At 33.4% G+C, this 20,186-nt stretch overlaps 1 long non-coding RNA gene across 1 annotated transcript in view; it reads right to left on the reverse strand.

Annotated features, from left to right (window-relative positions):
• Nucleotides 1–568: 568 nt before the first annotated feature.
• The window catches only part of LOC107987056 (uncharacterized), a 52,442-nt gene continuing 32,824 nt past the window's right edge, over nucleotides 569–20,186 (reverse strand). Inside the window, exon 3 of the long non-coding RNA XR_001746637.2 lies at nucleotides 569–617. This is a non-coding gene — a long non-coding RNA (uncharacterized LOC107987056). The remainder of the gene's footprint in view (nucleotides 618–20,186) is intronic.

A 20,186-nucleotide genomic window follows, 5' to 3' on the forward strand; every position in this document is an offset into this window, starting at 1 on the left:
GGTTACAGATGGAATTAAGGTTGCTAATCAGCTGGCCTTGAGATGATGATATTATCCTTGATTATCCAGATAGGACCAATATAATTACAAGGATATTTTTAAGTAAAAAAGAAAGCAGGTGAGTAGGAGTCAAAGAGAAGTGTAAATGGAAGTATAGGTTGGAGTGATGTGATTGCTGACTTTGAAGTTTAAAAGAGGACAATGAGCCAAAGAACATGAACAGACTCTCAAAATTGAAAAAGGTGAGAAAACAGATTATCTTCTAAAACCTTTAGAAATTGATATAGGCTTGCTAACACCTTGATTTCAGTCCATTAAAACCCATTTTGGAGTTCTGATTTCCAGAACTGTATGATAAGTTTTTGTTGTGTTAAACCACTGAATTTGTGGTAATTTGTTACAACAGCAATAGGAAACTATATCACTCAATAACAGAGTCCAAGATAATGAGTCTCACAAATTGCTTTATCCAGCAGCTCAACAACATCATTAATAACTCACATTTCTTGCATCTTTTCCTTTGCCATCATCAGTGTATGGCAAGCACCCCTGACAACGTGAAATCACTTCACCAGCTTCCAAATTCCGGCCAACATTGTAAACATACGCAGCAATATCTAAAGAAAAATAGATTATATGTCTTTTTATATCTGTTTGATGTTTGACATTCTACATTATTTTTGGTATCTTTTCCAAAAAGATTTATTAATCTTTATTTTATTAAATATATCAGTCTTTTTATTTGTGGTTAGCACCTTATTTTGGTCTTATTTAGACTTTTCTGCTACTAAGATTCTTTCTCTCAAAACTGTCAATGTCTTCTTTGGTAATATTTTAAAACCAAAGTGGATTTAACTTTATTTAGGGCATAAGGAACAAGTCAAACTTTAAAATACATTTTCTAACTTTTTAACTTACCCATTTCACGTATGTATCACTTCTTGGGCTCTCAAGTCTCCTGCTTAGATCAAATGATTTATTTCTTCATATTCTACATGATTTTCATTGCTGTTACATCGTAAAAAAATTCTTGTATATGGTAGGGCAATTTCCTTCTACTACTTCTTTTTAAGAGTTGTGACACAATTCATTCCAAATGTATTTTAAAATTAATTTGTCATGCTCTATAAATTATCTTGTTGGTTTGTATTATGCTTGCAGATTAATTTGGAAAGTTCTTTATCTTTATGATATTTAGTTTTTGATCTGGGAAGATATCTGTCTCCACTTACTTAAAACCAGTTTTACCTTATATCATTCAAAAAATGTTTATAGTTTTTTTCATAATTTTGTCACATTTATTTGTAGGTGCTGTATGATTCTTGTTGCAACCTGTTTTAAGTTTTTGAATTGCTTTTATTTACATATTTATTTTAGTTTAGATTGATCATTGCAAGAATATGAGAAGATCGCTGATATTTGTATCTGGTAAACTTGATTTATCTATTTAATTCTAAAACAAATTTCTTAAATTTTCTATGAAACCAATGACAAGTTTTTATTTATCTTTTATCTATATTATTACTATGTCTTTTATGAACTTATTATTTTGGTTATACTTCGGTAGAAATATTAAGGGTAACAGTAGAACATTTGTCTTGGTGTTGATTATAAGGGCAATTCTATAATTTCCCTATTAAGTGTGTTAGTTCCTCTTTTTGTTAACATCCATTAAAAGTTTAAGGAAGTTCATTTTTCAAGGATTTGTATTCGTGTGTGTGTGTGTGTGTGTGTCTCTGTGTGTCTCTGTGGTTCCTGATCAGTCTTGATCAAAATAAATTACTTTCTATTATATTGCCAAATTTTAGCTTGTAAGCTCAATTTTGAACAATGTTTATTTTGAAAATTTCTCCAGAAAGTTTTTATATCTGTTTTTTTCAGGTGCCTCAGATAGGAACTACTTTTACATTAATTTTCCATGTCAAAAAAGTAATGTAAATTCAATCCCAAAACTCACATGAGGCAGACCTAAAGCTGGAATTCTCAAAAAAAATTTTAATTTTTAATTCAGATCTCAGGCATAGGCTTAGAAACTTCTCTAAGGTCTTCATTTGCAAAAGGATAGATTTTAAGTAGTCTACTTTTCAATAGAAGCTATAGTCTTTTAAAAGTACCATATTTAGTTCTATACCTCAGTTCTAACTCTATGAATTTGTATACCTCATACTTTAACCTCTGTCTCTGGATGGTTAAACCTCAGCACTGTTTGTTATTGATATTAATAAGTACCCCAGGAAATGAAAACATAATATTCTTACCATATTGGGTTTCTGTTTGTTTTTTTTTTCTCTGTGGATTCTCAATTTTTAAGTAAACTGGGCATCTTAATTGATGTTCGTTACATTTTAAAAACATATTCAGTGTTTTGAAGCAAGTAATTTTTCAATGCATGTAATTCAACATATTGCCAGAAATGAAAGCCCTATCTCTAGTTTTCTATTTATTTCGATTACAGACATATTTAGGCTTCTTTTCTTCTTTTTAATTTTTCACCATGCTTTTGTATTGTCTTTTTATTTTGCTACTTATTAAAATTGAGCTCTTTAAATCCCTTCTTACACGTTACCTGTTTGCTTTACTGAGTTTACTCTTTTTCCACCCTTTACTACTTTGAAATTTATTTTTATTATATCTGTTATTTTAGTGCTTGCCCATAAATTTTGACAATGCATGTTTATCTTAATAAACTCTAAGATTAATCAGTATTTCAATTTTTCTTCCCAAGCTATATGATGTTATAAAAGATTTAAAATATATATGTATTGTTTTTAAATACATCAGTTCCAAGGCATTTTTAAAATCTCCAATAACAATTTTTTTTTCATGTCAACTCTCATTTAGATTCATCAGCATGCTTTACTGATTTCTTTGCTCATCATCTTTTGGGATCCTACTTTTTCCTTAAGTTTCACGTTTGATTGTATTGAGGAATATCCTTTACACTGGGCTGAGTTTGCAACTAGTAAACACTCTTAGTCTTTACATCTCTAACACTGTCCTGCTTTCAACCTCATTTTCAATGGTTTGTTTACTTGGAAATGGAATTTTGATATGGTTATTTTATCCTAAGCACTGAAGATAATAATTTTTGGCAGTAGAATCTGGGTGGGTGTGCTTCTAGAGCCTATTTTAGCCACTGAAAATCTGCTATTTGCCTGACTTCTATGCTTCTGTAAATAATGTCTTTTCTCTTTTACTAGTTTGTTTTAATATCTCCCCTCTATCTTTGATTATGTGCAATTCAATTACAATGTAAGTATGTGTAGATTAGTTTTCACTTATCCAGCTCCAGACTTGATGTTTTGTTTTTATTTTTGGAGTTTGAGGATTTTATTTATTATTTTTTATGTTTTATTGACTGTTAGTTGATTACAGAAACAGTAAATTACTATTGGAGTCCAGCATGTCTTGAGTTTTCACGATTTCTTTGTGGGGCAATATTGAATTTGCCTTTGAAAGGTCTTTGGGTTTAACCATGTCAAACCTGAATGTCTATGTATTTTGCATTAGGCACCATAGGAAAAATAGACAGCACCTACAGGCTGTGAATTGTAGACGCTACAAAACCACACTGCTATAGTGAAGGAGCACGCTACTCCCTGTATAGTGTTCTTAAGCCACTACAACACCTTTTAATAAATGAAGAGGGAGCATCTATTCATTTTCTGCTCCAATAAGGGAAGCATCTTACAATCGTGAAGAAGATGTAATTCCTAGAAACCTGCTGTAACTGAGATAGTTACTACTTTAGCCACATCCTCACTAGAGGGAAACTGCTCAGAGATCTGTGTTTGAGCTACCTAGGATAATTGTTCCCTGGGGAGGCATTTACATTTCTTTGATCTCCACAGTACCAGGACAAGCAGGAGAGAGCAGTTGCCTAATAGGTCTATACCTACCCAGTTTAAAATGTCCAACTGTCTTACCTAAGTGATTATCAGACCTAATCCCACCATGCCTGACCCCTCATCAGCACCAGAAACCAGTTATTCACCTAAAACTTATCCCCTTAATGTTATTTTTATTCATTTGTCCTACTTATTTTCCCCCATTAGAATCCATAGTCAATAAAAGCAAATCCCTAGATCTTCAAATTGTTCAAATTTTTGCCCCTTGTAAAATCTACCTTTTCCATGATGTCATCTTTCCCCTGCAGTCTGTCCTTCCACCAAGTTCCAGATAGGAGCTCTTTTGACCCACCATTACCACTTTGAAATGGTGTCTGCCTTGATCTTCAAATACCCCAACTTTTTTGACAAGTATGTCGTTAAGTCTGTTTCCCACTCTCTCCATATTGCTATAATCTATCAGCCTTCCCTTTCCTCTATCAGTAACTTCCTTTCATTCATGGATGAGTTAAGCACCTGATTTAATATATTTCTGTTCATGTCCTTTCCAGCGTATATTCATAGTGGCATCCATAACCATCCGATACATTTACCTCAGTTCCTTAGTCTCCTTACAGCCACACTCCTGAGTTCATGGTCCTTCCCTTTCTCATAAGCAATAACTGCTACATCTTTGTAATCTTCTGTATCTTTGAAATCTTCTGTGGCAGAAAATTTTATAAAAACATTGGGGATAAAAAGAAACTATTTCCACTCTCATACAATACTGGTCAGTATAAATTAATACAGATTTGCAGCACTGTGCATGTAATAGGATCTCAACAAGTCCTTACAGCTCCTCATGGTAACGTGATACCTCAGAAAGAACTTTCAATATGCCAACAGAGGATAGTTATCTCAGTCAAATTACAAAGCAGGAAGCAAACTTAAGAGCAATAACAAGTCCACTTTGTATTAGAGTTGAAGCAATGCCTCAATTTCTAATATAAAGCTGAGGACAAATCACTCTTATCAAGTGTGATTTATTTTGGGTAGTTACTATGAAAGTTACATTCTTAAGTTCTGAATGCTTATAGTCTTAAATCTATTAAAATATATGAACAATCCTACTTGCACTGAGTTCAAAATTTTTATTTCAAATAGAGATGGCTACTAAATTAATTCCATATAATAAAAATAAGGAAGAAGAAAAGATTAAGAGAAAGAAGAGAATAAGTAGAGCAATGGGGAGGTGAGAGGGGAGGGGAATAAGAGAGGGGGTGCAGAGGCAGAGGAAGGCCACAGTGATTGGAAAGCTTCAAGGCTGTGTCCTCATGTTCTCCAATGTCACATAGCAAGTAAGTGGCAAAGTTGGACTGAAACCCACTTTTGTCTACTAGAATAATAGCTTTAAGATCTATACTGCTAATCAAGTTTAGTTTTTAATTCCTTGGCTCTAAATTCTTTTTATAGAGGCTTGAAATTCACTGCAAATATTTCCAGGTAAACAGTTTGGATCAGGTTCAACCAGTTTTAACAAAAGCAAAGCTGAGGCCATTTATGCTTATTTGTACATAGAAATATATAAAGCTTAGTTATGATTCATATAAAACTAAAATATGGCTCACTGTAAAAAATCAACCATATTCTTTCTCATTATATTTTATTATTGTTTTATATGAATTCACTATTTGAATATTTTAGATCAGTACACATATTAAATGGTGGTAAAATGTTTTGCTTTTTATATATTCTGAACAATCATTAATAACCTTTCCTTGAAAATAGTTCTGCTTGCCATTCTAATAAATTTGATGAAATTTACCTTTATTACGATCTAATTTTTGGCCCATCTGAAATTTTGTAAATAAAAACCGGCACTTTTAAAGTCTATTGTTTGCTCATTAACAACACTGATTTATAAGTTTACAAAAGGTTTTAGCTACTAGACAAGCAGAATATATGGTTCTTTGTGAGTATTTTTCTCTTTTTGGCAATTCCTAAGTACATGTTTGGGTCAAATATACCTAAAACCAAAATAAATATCAATGGCAATGTTAAGGGAGTCAAAATTAAAGAGAGATAATTTTTTAAAATTTTGTACCTATTTGAAGTTCAATATTCAGGTTCGATTTCTAGTTTACATACTACAAACTTAACACAGAATTTTGTTTCAGCAAAGCTGAGTTTTGAATGAGCTCTAGTTTTATTCCCGTAATGCAATAGCCTGGAATGAGCCTTCCTCTCCCATGTATATTTGTCCAGTGCAATTTTTGCTTTGACCTTTTCCCTGGACCAAATCTGCCATATAGATATATTTAGTTTGGCTTATATAGTATTTTTGAAATTAGAAATGTCATTTAAAAAAATAGAATATACGATTTTCTTGAAAATTGTGAAAGTCCTAGCAATAATGATCTAACATTGTACCATGGCAAAATCTGGCAAGAACAGTGGTCTTTGCTTTTTTTCTTAACATTCTTTTTCATCATCACCCCTCCTTATCGCATGAAACTGTAATACTACATATAGATGTATATTTGTTGTATGTATATCAAGGCTTTATATGTTAATATAGTAAGATTTTCTTCCTCATACCCTCCAAGAACCAATATTTATCCCTTGGTGTTGATATAAGCTGGGTTGAGAATGAATGCTTTAGACAACAATGCTTGTGCTTTGTAGCATCTCACGGTCTCCACCACTACCTAACTTAACTCCTTTTTAACTGTTCCACTTATTGATATCATCTGTCTGTTTCTTGGTAAGGTTTTGCGCTTGAGACTTCTGTTTTAAGTGTTCAAAACTGGCTACTGACATTAGATACGCATGAATTTTAACTGCTGCATTATCACAGCCTTGTACCTTATATTTGTTGTGTAATGTATAAATTGAATAAGATAGCTTAATCAATTTTTGAGGGAATTTAATAAAATAATATGAATAAAGTACTGGGGGATATATCATGCACATTGCAGTTCTCAACTCATATTAAGAAGGACATGAACAGACACTTCTCAAAAGAAGACATTTATGCAGCCAAAAAACACATGAAAAAATGCTCATCATCACTGGCCATCAGAGAAATGCAAATCAAAACCACAATGAGATACCATCTCACACCAGTTAGAATGGCAGTCATTAAAAAGTCAGGAAACAACAGGTGCTGGAGAGGATGTGGAGAAATAGGAACACTTTTACACTGTTGGTGGGACTGTAAACTAGTTCAACCATTGTGGAAGTCAGTGTGGCGATTCCTCAGGGATCTAGAACTAGAAATACCATTTGACCCAGCCATCCCATTACTGGGTATATACCCAAAGGACTATAAATCATGCTGCTATAAGGACACATGCACACGTATATTTATTGCAGCACTATTCACAATAGCGAAGACTTGGAACCAACCCAAATGTCCAACAATGATAGACTGGATTAAGAAAATGTGGCACATATACACCATGGAATACTATGCAGCCATAAAAAATGATGAGTTCATGTCCTTTGTAGGGACATGGATGAAATTGGAAATCATCATTCTCAGTAAACTATCACAAGGACAAAAAACCAAACACCACATGTTCTCACTCATAGGTGGGAATTGAACAATGAGAACACATGGACACAGGAAGGGGAACATCACACTCTGGGGACTGTTGTGGGATGGGGGGAGGGGGGAGGGATAGCATTAGGAGATATGCCTAATGCTAGATGACGAGTTAGTGGGTGCAGCACACCAGCATGGCACATGTATACATATGTAACTAACCTGCACATTGTGCACATGTACCCTAAAACTTAAAGTATAATAATAATAAAACAAAAAAAGAATTGTTAACAGTATTTTAAAAATTAATGCTATTTTTAAAAATATAACAGGACTCTACTGCCCCAAATAATAATTAACAACCTAAAACCTCAAGAATAAGATTTTATTTCTTTATTTGGGTATTTGTTTGTTGGTTTGTTTCTACTGAAAATTTAACTTAGAAAGAAATTTCCCTTTGGTTATATCAGTGAAGTCTGAGCTAAGTGTTAATTAGCAGGCTAAAACCATTCTAGAATGTAGAATATTGAAAAAAAAATTGAGCTAGATGGGAAATTCTAGTCAGCCTTGGACAACAAACCTTCATTGTTTTTTTTCTAAATAAATACATTTTATTCAAATTAAGTGGAAAAGATAATTCTGGTGATCTTTTAGTTTTTTTTATGCATAATCATATTTTATAGTGGTTTATGGGAAAGGTAGAATGATTTCATGGAAAAATGCTAGTTTAGATTCTAACTAGTCATCATCTGAATCCTGGTTCTATTTCTAAGTAAGCCAGCAAGTATTCTGGTTATCAAGACAAGTGTCGTTTATAATCTAGCCTGTCTCCACCCCTACTCCTAAGGAGGGTAGTGACTCTTGCTCATGTAGGGGAGAAAAGGTAATATCTTTTCCTTGCCCATCACACCGTTAATGGCTGACATCCCTATAACAAAAGACAGATTAGAAGAAAAAAGCATAGCAAATGTATTTATTCAAGTTTTATGTGACATGGAGCCTTTAGGAATGAAAACACAAAGGCCCAGGGAAAACTGTATTTTTAATGCTTAGGTTTGATGAAGAATAAACAGTAATATAGAAGTAGGTTTGGGCTAAAGGAGTATCATCTAATGGTAACCAATTGAGGAAAACTTAGCAAGGCCTATTTGTTCAGATGTTTCTCTGTGTCTCTTTGTATTACTTTCTTCTGGGTATAGGAGAGGATACCTGCTACATGTGGGTTTCCAGGGGAGAAGAAAGAGTGAATTCTTTTTATGGCTTTAAGACAGAAAAGGTGGGAAAAGATCAGAGTGACCTTTCTCTTATGCCAAAGCGCCATATCTGGGAGCGTCGTATTCTGAGCCTGGTACTTGCTTTTAGAGTTTGTTGCTGTTGTTTGTTTGTTTGTTTCCTGAGTGCAGATAAATCATCCTTTTTTCACTTTTTAAGAAAAAATATTGTACTCAGAAAGAGAGATGTGGAGTTACCTCAAGATGTGATAGAAAAAGGGAGAAGAGGAAGTTGATGAGGGAGATTTTTTTTTTTTTTTTTTGAGATGGAGTCTTGCTTTGTCGCCCAGGCTGGAGTGCAGTGGCGTGATTTGGGCTCACTGCAACGTCCGCGTCCTGGGTTCAAGTGATTCTCCTGCCTCAGCCTCCCAAGTAGTGTGCCACCACGCCCAGCTAATTTTTGTATTTTTAGTGGAGACGGGGTTTCACCATGTTGGCCAGGATGGTCTTTATCTCCTGACCTCATAATCCATCCCTGTCGGCCTCCCAAAGTGCTGGTACTATAGGTGTGAGCCACCGCGCCTGTCTGAGGGAGACTCTGAAGAAGGTTGGATAATTTGGGTATTTTGCAGTTACATGCTGAATATTCATCATTCAACATAACACCCTCTTATTCCCTCTGCCCACTATGATCCCGCACAAACTTTTACCATATTATTAAATTTTTACTATGCGGTAGTTAGCCTGGGAAAACTAGACCAAAGGAGTCACCAAACCAATTAAGTAGTTTTGAGGATTAAATGTGATGATGCAGGAATACCTAAAATGTGTTTGGGAACCCTAGGTCCTCAAACAAGTAATTTGAAGTCAGGAATTTTGTTTTTACTCATCTTTACATTCTCTTTAGTACCTAGGCTAGAAGTTTGAATAAAAGCAGTGTGTTTATATATATAGGCCAAGAATGAATATTTCAAACATCTTTACAGATAAAGTAGCTATATCACTGATATATATCCAAGATGGCTTACGTGTTTGACCAAGGTGATGTTTATGTGTTGTTTTTGTTTTCTTTGTTTCAGTTTACTCTCTCAGTCCACCAGATGGAAACACAGGGAACATCTCATCAGTTTCTGTCATGTTGGCTTAGGTACACATGGGGTAAAGTGTGTTAGACTTGGAGTCAAGAGGCCAAAGTTCAAATTCTGTATTGACTACCTTTTACCTTTTTGACTTTGAGCTGTTAATCTAATTTTTTCAGCTTTAATTTCTCAACTTATGAATAACTACACCTAACTCATGGAATTGTTTTGAAGTTCCATGTATATGTTATGTATAATTAAGCTTCTGACTATATTAGGATCTGGAAAATTATCCCTATATTAATTATAAAATTAAATATCTGTACCAGTCCTGGACTAGATGTTTTATTTAGATCATTACCCTTACTGCAGTTATACAAAATAACTAAAAGCTCTATATATTACTAATCAAAAGATCTGTGGCTATTAGTTCATTTATTTAATGTTGAGCACTATTATATGCCCCTCTTCTATGATTAATGAAAGTAAAAGGAAACTTAATGCAATAGATTATTTATGACTTGATAAATCTACACATTTTTGAATAGTTTTGCTATTTTGTCCAGATAAGTAGTGGAGCCAAATAATCAAGGTATCTTTCAAAGGAGCTCAACTAGTTCAATGCCTAGTTGCACAGAATCTGAACTGGTAGTGTGTTGTTAAATAGAAATTAACATTTCAGGGAAAGAAGCTGCCAAATACCATTTCAGCTTCTTTATTTTCAGAAATGCTTCTTTTTGGCGTCTTTAGTTTTGCAACTTTAAGGCAAATTCACACTCATTTCCCTAAAGTCAGGGTGAAATAAAATCTTTTCTGTGTATTGAAGAGTTTTGTCCTTCTCAATATCAATTAGTTTCCTGGGCTAGCCCCTGGGGAGGCAATAAGAACAATTGCAAGGAGCCTAGGAGTATAACTCAGAAGATTCAGATAATTCTCTCTTAAAAGAACTTTCCACCATAACTTTCTAAAAATCTACATCAGTATTAGAATTATCTCAGCAGTCAATGTATGTTCCTGTTAGTATATCTGTTTTCAAGAGGGACACTATTTGGCACAAATGAAGATAACTATAGCAGAAAATGTGGGTTTCTCTTTTGAACTATTCAAGTTATTCCAATTTTTCCAAAAAGGAGGTATTTGGAAATAAGAATACCTCTTTGTAATGGATAACTCCCCAGAATTCCAGAACAATTTTTGATGGGGAAATGGGACTGAGAGAGAGATTTTGGAAGCCAGTGAGTGTTTAATAACGGGATTTAAATTTTGAAATTGGATGTGACTTCATTTTTGGGCCAAGCAGATGTCATGGGTTATACTGGTTAGAAATGTATGGTTTTATGTACTAATCAGGAAAAAAAATGAAGAACTTTTCTATGTAATGTATATGAAGAAAAGATGAGTATGATAGCAATGAATGAAATAGAAACAATTACAGTCATAGATTCTTAACTTTGAATAGGACTTCCGAATGGATAAAATTCTCGAACACTCACAATATAGCCTCTTAAGTGTTTTTCTGTTAGTCTGTACAGGTACTATTGCATTCAATTCGCAGATACCCAAGGCCATACATCTCCAGACTTCTGCCAAATAAAGAACTTTGTTTATAGCCAGTATTTGGTAGTAGGGAAAGTCACTCTGTAGTAACCCAAAATTGAAAAGGGGCAGAAATCATCTCTAATCCATCACAAAAGGACACTGAAAAATGTTTCCTACAAAGTTTGAAGGAATCTAAAAGTGTAAAAGAGAGCCAAATAAAAGAAGAATAAAGTAGATAACCACTATCTATAGATAAAATAAATGGCTCTTTAAATATTTTTGAGAATAAGTCCTTGTGAAAATATTTTAATGAGGTTTTAGCAGATAATTCTTCTGAAACATTCCTAGCATTAAATTTTGCCCAGTAAATGTCCTATGGAGAATTAAAATATAATTATACATAAAATAAAAGTATAAATAATGTTTCACAACACAATTCTGTTTTGTTTGATGATATATTTGATTTATGTATACTTAAAATTATATTCAAATTTAAAAATTTCAATATCTATATTTCATATATCATCCCATAATATATACAAATCAAATTATATCATATTCCACTTATAAGCTCTTAATTATATGTAATCTACTTAAATTTCAATAGATGTATGCTTCTTTATTAAAATTTTTTCTCACAAACCTCTTTATTTAAAAAATATTTACCTAAATGCATTTTGTTTCATTTATTACAGAACTCTTCATAATTGTAATATATTTTGGGAAATTTTATAAACATGAACTGATCCTCTATTTCTTATTTCCTATTTTTGTATTAAATTTTATTCATCTATTAGCATTATTCTTTTTGTTTTGGTTTACCTTCGGTGATCTTTATTTTTAGCTTTTCTATTTATTTTGTTGTATATGGAAATTGTGCAACTGGAGGCAGCTTGAACATCAAACTAATAAGATATCCATTTTAGGAACCTTCCAAAGTTGTGCGTCAGATTGTATTTATAATGATACTTTCAGTTTCTTAAAGAGAGTCACACAATTTTACAAGCTCTGGGTCTCATCAGACCTGGATTTTATCATTTGCTAACAATACACAGTTGGATTTTTTAAATAAAATCTGAAAATATTTATTTTATTTTAACAGGGGTGTTCAACACTATTATTGTTGAGATGCTTAATCTCTCTTCTGTAGTATTTTTTCACAACATTTTTTGTGTGCCTCCTTTATGTTTATTTTTTTTTGTATTGTTGTTTTTATATTGATGTGGGTCAGGAAAAGCTAACTAAAAATATGGCAGGTTATAATGTGAGAAAACAGAATAAGCAACAAGGTCACTCTCACTTTCCCTTTGCCTTTCTTTCTTAAACAGTCATAGACTTCATTCCAGGGGTGCCCACCCTATCCTCACAGGAAAGAAATGTTCCTATCTCTATAGATCCAGGGACATAGAGAAGAATCTGAATAAACAGACCTTGCTAATTCCCTCCAGTTTGTTACCCTATTTTGTCTAATGATACTTCCCCACAACTGTCCGCTCTTTATCAAACCTAAGTGTAAAAATATATAGATTTCCCTGTTTCTTTCTACCTTCATTTCTAAAGTCACTGGTGTCACATATACCTCATAGTAAGTAAATTTGCTAGTTTTTTCTTTTTTTTTTCTTTTCTTTTTTTTTTTTTTGAGACAGTCTCGCCCTGTTGCCCAGGCTGGAGTGCAATGGCGCGATCTCGCCTCACTGAAACCTCCGCCACTCGGGTTCAAACGATCTTCCTACCTCCTCTCCGGTCGCTGAGATTACAGGCGCCTGCCATCATCCCCAGCTAATTTTTGTATTTTTAGTAGAGACAGGGTTTCACCAGGTGGGCCAAGCTGGTCTTGAACTCCTGACCTCGTGATCCGCCCATCTCGGCCTCCCAAAGTGCTGAGATTACAGGCATGAGCCACCATGCCTGGCCATTTGCTAGCTTTTTACTTGTTAATTTGTCTTCTGTTACAGGTACCTCAGCCATGAGCCTTGTGATGGGAAAGAAAGATATTACTTTTTTCAAAAAAAATATAGACTATGTTTTATTTACATATTTCATTTTATGTTACTTTGTTCATGTCTTACAAGATTTGATAAAATATATTTTCATTATGAAAAATTATTTTATTTAAAGTTTTTATTTCTTCTGTTACATAGAATTCATTTAGGAGAGATTTTTGTTTTTAAAAAAAGGAAACAGTATTTTTGTTTCTGGTAACAATTGTATTTTAAATGATCAAATAAATTGGCATATAAATTGGCTACACATATCTAAATTCTGTGAATGTGTGTAACAGATTAGCATGCTATAAATTTTTGCCTTCTCGGCACACTTAAAAAGTTATGTTCCTTGTGCCTATTCACTTAATCTGATTAATTATATTATTTAAGTTATTTATATCTTTTTTGACATTTATTTTTTTTCTATGAAAGGCTGTAAAGTACGTTCAGTGTTATCACTCTAATTTTACTTATGTTCAATTATTTTCCTTGTTCTAATCACTTTTCTCCAAGTATTTTGCTACAATACTTGGCGTGTACATTTATAAACTATCATATACTCATTATAATTTATCTCTTATTTATGATGCCCCTCTTTCTCTGTTTTGAATTCCACTTTGCTTAACATTATCACTTTATTAATATATATTTAAGAAGCCATGTTAATTTTATTCTTGTTAATGTTTCTGTTGCTTACATTCGTCAACATTTCTTTTGCTGTATCAATGATGGTTTGGTTGTTTTCATCATCTCAGGTTATTTAGAGGATAGTATTCTGCTTCTACTTACAGGTTTTTATCATTTTGATTTTCTAAAGCCAATCTTAAACTATAGTAAGTCAAGAATGGAAAATCTCAATCTAGATAACATAAAGCTTTCTCATCCTCCCTTCACAAAAAAGGTTTAGTAAACATAATATGAAATTTGTGACTTACCTCCTAGTGGAAGGAGTATTTCCATGTAAGATTTGAAATTGTTCTGTAATGAAGAGTTGTCCCTTTCCCCACATTTATTTACTCGATAACTAATGTCAGGATTAATGTTTTGTACTTTGGTTATAGTTATATGGTACTTTATTTATTTTGTTAGTCGAATTGTTCCAGCTTTGGCCAATGAAAACTCTTTCAGGTTGGTTCCTGTGTCCTTTTGATATGGCCAAAATCTTTTGTTTTTGCATACTTCCTTACTTTCTGGTTTATCCTATTTTAATATAAAGTTAGTTGTCCTATTATTATTATATGGTAACAGTTCTTTATATACTCTAAATATAAGTTTTATATTAGGAATATGTTTGCAAATATTTTCATCCAATTTGTGTCTTAATTTTTCATTTTCTTAATACTGGTTGTGAAGCACAAACATTTTTAAATTTAATAAAATCAAATTTAACAACTTTTTAATGGTTCACGCTTTTCGTGCCTTATTCAAAAAATGTTTACCTCAACTAAGTTCACAAGTATTTTCTTTTATGATTTTTAAAAAATAGTTTTAGATCTTATATTTAAATCAATGATCTATTTCATGTAAATGTTTATATATGATATGAGACAGAGGTCAAAGTTTATTTTTGCAGTCTTTCTAGTGAGTAGAAACAGCTTGTAATAAAGGCACCATGTAGACTCTTCAGAAGGGTATCACCTCAGTAGTAGGACTAAAACAGTTCTACTAAAGGCTATTCTAAACCTGCTCTTAAAAGAGCTTTAAAACAAACTTCAAAAGAATCAAACTGATTCCAAGTAACTATCAGATGGCAACACCAGCCCTCTTTGAGCTTCGGGAATTCTCTGACCTCCTTCTTTTCAGTGGTTCTTTCCATGGCCTCAGATAGTTCCCTATCACACATGAACAGATTAGCGCCCAACTACGGGCTTAAAGAGACCTCTCTTCCATCTCAAGATCTGAAGACTTTCTCCTTATAAAGGCGTCTCCTCTCTAGTATTTAGCTTTGCAAATTATAGGTTCTTGCGCTGCTTAACCTCTAAGCTCTGTCTCCTCAACTTCATGAGAAATCTGGACTCTGTTTCTCCACTATGACATTGCCTGCAAACTGCCTCCAAGCAGTCAGCTAGGGCAGTGGTAGAGCTCATCTTGTTTCTGTCGCTCTTTTCAGGAATAAATGTCCTGTTCTGTTTGCTATCCCATTTCTCAAAACTAATATTCCTTATATAGTGTCTGTTTTTCTGTTTTATGAAGTGGGAGGTAAATTTTGTCCCTGTTGATCCATAATGCCTGGAACCTAAACGTCTTTTTTACAGTGTGTTAGCACGACAACTTGTTTTGGGTAGTGTATTAGGGTGACAACTTGTGTTTTTACCCTGCACAAAACATGTTCAAAAACAGCAAAACTCTTTTAAATGTTTATGTTATAAATAAATCAGTGATTAAATAATATATGTCTCTTTTAAAGCTAATTTTACATAGCTCCTTTTAGAAATAAAAGTTGTGCCATTCTTTCTAGATGTATACATTGTTGGATTGTTTAACTTTCAATTTAAAAAGCCTGAGATGCTTGATTATTAGAGTTAGATTCATAGTTAAATTTTATTAAAACTGTAAAAATGTCACTGCACCTGGCATATAGCCAGTTATTGAAAGAGGGAGAAAGATAATTAGGAAATGAAGGTAATGAGACAACAATTCAGGAAAAAAAGACGTTAGGACTTTGATGGGCAGTGGAAAAGAGAATTTGGGAGTTCAGCTTTAAAATAGTGAGTGAAACAAATAGTTTCAAGTAGTTATTTCCCTATTGACTGTCAGTCCAAGACTCTTTCCTTTGTACCACGCAGCCCTCTTTCTTAATGAAAACTCTTCAAAGGGACTATTTACATTAAGTTTTTCTACAATAAACTGACCAAGATTTGTATCATTCAAAGAACGTCAGCTCTTGCCTGAACTCAACTAAGATAGTTAAACACAAAGTAATCCATGCTATGAATAAAGACCAGAAAAATAAAATATTTGTAAAATGCCATCTTTGTTCTAACTGAAGTATTTAAGGCACTTAGTTTTTGTCACAATAGGTACTTAAAAACAGAAAGGTTGACATAAACGTCATATTTACAGAAAGTGTAAAAGGAGACTATAACAAATAAAACCAGTAGTGATTAATACACACTGCGTTGCCCATCAGCACTTATGAACACATTTATTTCATCTGTACAAGAAAGAATATTCATAGATATTCTTTTCAAATTTTACTCTGATAATTCATATGTATTTTGAATAAATCTCTTTGAAGGCTAACATTTAATTTCCTCCAAATATTCAAGTTGATTTAACACTAGGGGAGCAGCAAGTTTATGAGGACCGAATAGTCAATATGATTTTCTAGGTATTCAGATGCTTTGTTGCAGCCTAATTATAAAAAAAATCAAATATTTCAAATATTCAAAATATGAAGAAGTTGACTGCTAAGGAATAGACTTCAAAATTACAATACATTTTCAAGTTAAGATCACCCATTTTTCATGCAAATATCTGAGGGGTTTTGGCCACAGTGCACATCACCCTAAAGGGTTATGTTTATACCCTTACTTCTAAAAGAGTCTATTTGTGTGAATGTGTGTAACGTTTTATAAGACTACTGATGATATAGATAAAAAGAAACTTAGAATACAAGAATAATGCCAAAAATTCATGCATGTTAAATATAGTATGTTATGGCCACAGAAAAAGATATACAAATTAGATTAATTGCAGGCTGTGTCTCTCATAGTAATAATAGGTTCCACTGAGTTATCTGTATTTTTCCATTTTGTTCAGAGTCATCTGAATTTGTGAGACACATAACCATAGATATAGACAAATTCTGTCTGATGTAACCTTGTTTTCCTTTATGTAAAATTAATTAATCCATATCATTATCTTCTTGCTACAATGTATATTCCATTTTGTTTATTCATTCATATTAAACCTCCTTCGAAATAGGAATTAAGGTAACTTACAAAGATTCATGCATACCACATTATAAAAATAAATAAATGAAAGATCTGGAAGAAATAATATATAGACAATGGAAATATCAAATAAACTCAGAAGGAAAGGTAGCATCTCAACCACATGTCACATGGACATGGACACCACCCCGCCCCGCCATACACTTTGAAAGTTGTCAGAGAAAGGAATAGAAAGAGGCTTGACTTAGTTAAAAAAAATTATTATTACTGTTATTTTTACACAATTCAGGTAAAAATTCTCCATTTAAAAACTCAAAGTTTCCTCAAATTCTATTACATGACATAAACAACTCCTAACAACGTGGTGTCACCCTTTTTTTTTTTTTTTTTTTTTTTTTTTTTTTTGAGATGGAGTCTCACTCTCTCACCAGGCTGGAATGCAGTGGTGCACTGTGATCTGGGCTCACTGCAACCTCTGCCTCCCAGGTTCAAGCGATTTTCCTGCCTCAGCCTTCCGAGTATCTGGGACTACAGGCACATGCCACCACGCCACCAGGCCCAGCTAATTTTTGTATTTTTAGTAGAGAGGGGTTTCACCATATTGACCGGGATGGTCTCAATCCCTTGATCTCTTGATCCACCTGCCTCGGCCTCCCAATGTGCTGGGATTACAGGCGGGAGCCACCATGCCAGTCGTGTCACCCTCTTTTTAAGTAACATCTTCACTGTTCTTTCATGTGCAATATGATCTGGTTACCCAGAGTGTCTCTCCATTTCTCTCAATGTCATCTTCTCACACTTCTTTGTTTTTGAATTTTTGCGTGGAGAGCCAACTTCAATCTCTTTTTCTTGGTGAAATGCCATGAGACGTTTAAGAACAATTTAGTGTTTCTCCCTCTCTGAAGACTTCTCTAGGGCTAAAGAATATGTTAGTCACCTAGTTTATGTGTACCATTAGTGTTTTATACCAATTTGTATAATAGCGTAATAGCATCTCTCAAAACCCTTCTGATAATTTCTCACATGCTTATTAGCCCCAATGCACGGAGAAGATGGAGACTATATCTTGTTCAATTCTACATTCTCAGTTCCTAGCCCATTACAAACAGACAATCTGTGAGTGTCAGATGCACAATAAATTGGCTTAATAAAGAGCTAACAGTAGAAAGGGTGAAAATTTAAGAATGAAAACAGATGAGTAAGACTAATAAAAAGACTGAGTGCCAAAATACCTCAAAGGGAATCATGATTTAAAAACATAAAAATGTGTCATTAGTTGATCTGAATTACCCTTACAATTAGTGGATTCATTTTTTAAAAACCTCACATTAACATGGATGAAATTTTGAAATGCTTAGCATTACCAGTATAATCCATACAAAATTTCATCTAATGGGAGTTATCTTGTTAAAGAAAGTCACCTCCTTTAGTCTGCACATTGAAGACATTTTATTTTATTACACATAGCCTTTCTTTCCGGCTGTGCTGAGCTATCATGGTCCAATTTTATTCCAGTTGCACAGTACAAAGCAGTTCCTCTAGGAGCTGCTTTTGAAGATTAAAGCATAGAAATAATTTTATTAATGCAATTTTATTTTATATAACACCACACTTCAGCAAGCCTAAATTCTTCATGAGTATCAGTATTATCTATATAGAATTCAATTTACCAGTGGTCCAATGTGAAAATGCTGTTTGCCTATCCACAAAAGTGAGTAGGTAACCTATCAGTTAATGCTTGCTGTGAAATCATCAAAGTTTCACCAGAAACTGCAAAACTAGTGGTATCAGGGTCAGTAACATACTTCAATTGTGTCCACTTTGTATTTTACAAAGTTCTTATCCGTAATGTTATTTAGCCTTATTGCAGTTTTGTGACCCGAGAATTGTTTGCTAGTTTATTTTAAGTAAGTAAAGAAAAGAGGCTCAGAGACCTAAAAGTGACTTATCAGCGTCATGGGACAGAGGAGGGTAGATTTGGGATTGGAACTGAGGCTGTATAACCTCTGGCTCAGCAATGTTTTTTTTCTCCTGAATAATTTTCTTCTTATTTCATCTTTGGAATGGTTTACAGAAAATTATGATGTCAGGTCAAGAGTTTAGAATAAAAGAGGTTACATAAGACACATAGGGAGCTAGAAGAAAGTCACAAGTCACTCAGAAAACATTCATTTGTGCATTGATTCTTGCAAGAAATACTGGACAACTATTAAGGGACTTCTGCTCTACTAAGTGCTGGATTTAGCATTAGACATACAGATTTCTACTATGTGCTAAGTAGTTTATTAGGCTCTGTAGATAACATAAAAATTGGATTTAAACCATTTTTAAATATGTAGAAATAACAATGTCTTAAAAATTCTGGTTTTAAAAAATGAAAACAAATATATTTAAATAATTGGAAAATCTAAGAATGCACATAGGAAAAGTATCTTCAGAATGACATAATAAAGACCACCAGAAATCTCCATAAAAACAATGAGAAGACTTGCAAACACTGTCAAAATCAACCTTTTCATGACTTTGAAAATTAATAAAAGTCTTGCAACAATCTGAGAAGCATTTATTCACTAAAATGACTACATCTGCTTAAGAAAAGCAAACTTTGTGGCATTATAATTTGCCCTTATATCAGTCCAAACTTCCTAGCTCTGTGGTAATCTTGTAAACCAAAAGCCACATAATCACGGTAGCTGGAAAATAAGCAGCCTAGCAGCCACTGAGGGAGTAGAACATGTTTTTAGCTCCCCAAAGGACCATTTTTCAAATATTTGTCGTTATTTGACTTGTCTGTCAACTCCTGGTAATCCTCCTCTCTTAGGACTTCTCTTTATTTGACCTGACTCAAGGTTCATTTAGTAAGAACAGTCTTTTGGTTGAAAACAATGATCATTACTTTCTTAACATCAGAGCTACCAAAGAAGGGAACAATAGTTGGGACCAATTAGTGTAACCAAAGAAGTTAGAAAGAAAATGCCTAAAAATGAGAATTAGAAGTAGATAGAGGATTTTGAAAACCTCTGACATATTTCTTGTCACATAAATGTACAAGCCTGTGTGCATTTTCAGAAAATAATTAATACTCGAATCTCATCTTTCTAG

This window comes from Homo sapiens, chromosome 9, assembly GCF_000001405.40.
Source record: "Homo sapiens chromosome 9, GRCh38.p14 Primary Assembly".
In the NCBI taxonomy this organism is placed as follows: Eukaryota; Metazoa; Chordata; class Mammalia; order Primates; family Hominidae; genus Homo; species Homo sapiens.